Below are 1940 nucleotides of genomic sequence, written 5' to 3'. Positions count from 1 at the left end.
TCCACATGGCTCTCTCATCTTCTTTGGAGCAGAAGAATGTCGAGCCCAGATTTGGAGCTAGCAAAGCCATATTCTTCTCATGATGATGGCAGAGGTGTGAGAGACAAAAAAAACATTCAAAGGCTCTGCCGGCACAGTTTCAGAACTGGTACACTGTCATTTCTGCCTCACTCTATTGGCCAAAAATAGTTATAAGACTGAATCCAGTCAAGGGTTGGAGAAATAATACTCTTCCCTTTTAAATGGGAGGAACTGTAAAGTCACATGAGAGGGGTGAAAAATTAGGACCTGATATGGAAGGATGTGTGTCCCTTCCAACTCTCAAGTTGAAATGTTACCTCCAATGTTGGTGATGGGCCAAGTGGGAGGTGTTTGGATCATGGGAGCAAGTCCCTCATGAATGTCTTTGGCCTGTCCTCATGGTAATGAGTTAGTTCTCATTCAATTAGTTCACATGAGACCTGGTTGTTTAAAAGAGCCTGGCACCCGCCTCCTCTCTCTCTCTTGCTCCCACTCTTGCCATGTGATATGCCTTCTCCCACTTCAACCTTACACCATCATTGTAAGCTTCCTGAGTCTTCACCAGAAGGAGATATTGGCACCACACTTCATGTACAGTCTGTGGAACCATGAGCCAAAATAAATCACTTTTCATTATAAATTACCCAGTCTCAGATATTCTTTTATAGCAATACAAGAATGGACTAACACACAAAACTGGTACTGAGGAGTGGGACATTGCTATAAGGATACTTAAAAATGTGGAAGCAACTTTGGAACTTGGTAACAGGCTGAAGTTGGAAAAGTTTGGGGAGCTCAGAAGGACAGGAAGATGGGGCAAAGTTTGGAACTTCTTAGAGACTTTCTAAATGGTTGTGACCAAAATGCTGATAGAAATATGAACAGTGAAATCCAGGCTGACGAGATCTCAGATGGAAATGAGGAATATAGTGTAAACTGGAGTAAAGGTTACCTGTGTTATGCCTCAACAAAGAACTTGGCTGCATCATTTTCTCATCCTAAGGATATGTGGAAGTTTTGAACTTAAGAGTGATGACTTAGGGTATCTGGCAGAAGAAATTTATAAGAAGCAAAGCAATCAAGATGTGGCATGGCTGCTTCTAACTACCTATGCTTAGATGCAGGAGCAAAAACAAGACTTAAAGTTGGAACTTATATTTAAAAGGGAAGCAGGGAGTAAAAGTTTAGAAAATTTGCACGCAGTCTGGCATTTTGTTGGAGAAAGAATCCAGAAAGGCTGCAGAGCAACCACTTGCTAGAGAGATTAGCATGACTAAAAGGGAGCCAAGTGTTAATATCCAAGACAATGGGAAAAGGCCTCAAAGGCATTTCAGAGATCTTTTAGGCATTTCCTCCCATTGCAGGTCCAGAGGCCTAGGGGAAAGAATGGTTTTGGGGGCCACACCCAGGGCTCTGCTGCCCTTGCAGCCTCAGGACACTCCTCTCTGCGTCCCAGCTCCTGGCTCCAGCTGCAGCTCAAAGGGCCTCAGGTACAGTTTGAGCCACTCTTCAGGAGGATGCAAGTCATAAGTCTTGGTGGCTTCCATGTGGTGTTAAGCCTGCAGGTGCACAGAATGCAAGAGTGAAGGAGGCTTGGCATCTTCCATCTAGATTTCAAAGGATGTATAAAAACACTGGGTGCCCAGGCAGAAGCTTGCTACAGGGTAGAGTCCCCAGAGATACTCTACTGGGCCAGTGCTGAGGGTAAATTTGGGGTTTGAGCTCCCACACAGAGTCTTCACTGGGGCACTTCCTAGTAGAGCTCTGGGAAGTGGGCCACTGCCCTCCAGACCTCAAAATGGTAGAGCCTCCAGCAGCTTGAATCCTGAACCTGGAAAAGCCACAGAAACTCAACTCCAACCTGTGAGAGCAGCCACTGGGGCTGCACCCTGCAAAACCATAGAGACAGCGCTGTCCAA

At 45.5% G+C, this 1940-nt stretch overlaps 2 annotated features.

Moving 5' to 3' along the window:
- Positions 464–964: an enhancer, noted in NCBI's record as "H3K27ac hESC enhancer chr12:47064118-47064618 (GRCh37/hg19 assembly coordinates)". NCBI's record gives its function as "activates a minimal SCP1, AML or CMV promoter by ChIP-STARR-seq in naive H9 embryonic stem cells {active_cell/tissue: H9 hESC(naive)}" and the evidence as "EXISTENCE:reporter gene assay evidence [ECO:0000049][PMID:30033119]".
- Positions 978–1651: an enhancer, noted in NCBI's record as "OCT4-NANOG-H3K27ac-H3K4me1 hESC enhancer chr12:47063431-47064104 (GRCh37/hg19 assembly coordinates)". NCBI's record gives its function as "activates a minimal SCP1, AML or CMV promoter by ChIP-STARR-seq in naive and primed H9 embryonic stem cells {active_cell/tissue: H9 hESC(naive and primed)}" and the evidence as "EXISTENCE:reporter gene assay evidence [ECO:0000049][PMID:30033119]".

Source organism: Homo sapiens, chromosome 12 (assembly GCF_000001405.40).
Source record: "Homo sapiens chromosome 12, GRCh38.p14 Primary Assembly".
Lineage (NCBI taxonomy): Eukaryota > Metazoa > Chordata > Mammalia > Primates > Hominidae > Homo > Homo sapiens.
This window is presented reverse-complemented; position numbering and strand designations above follow the sequence as displayed.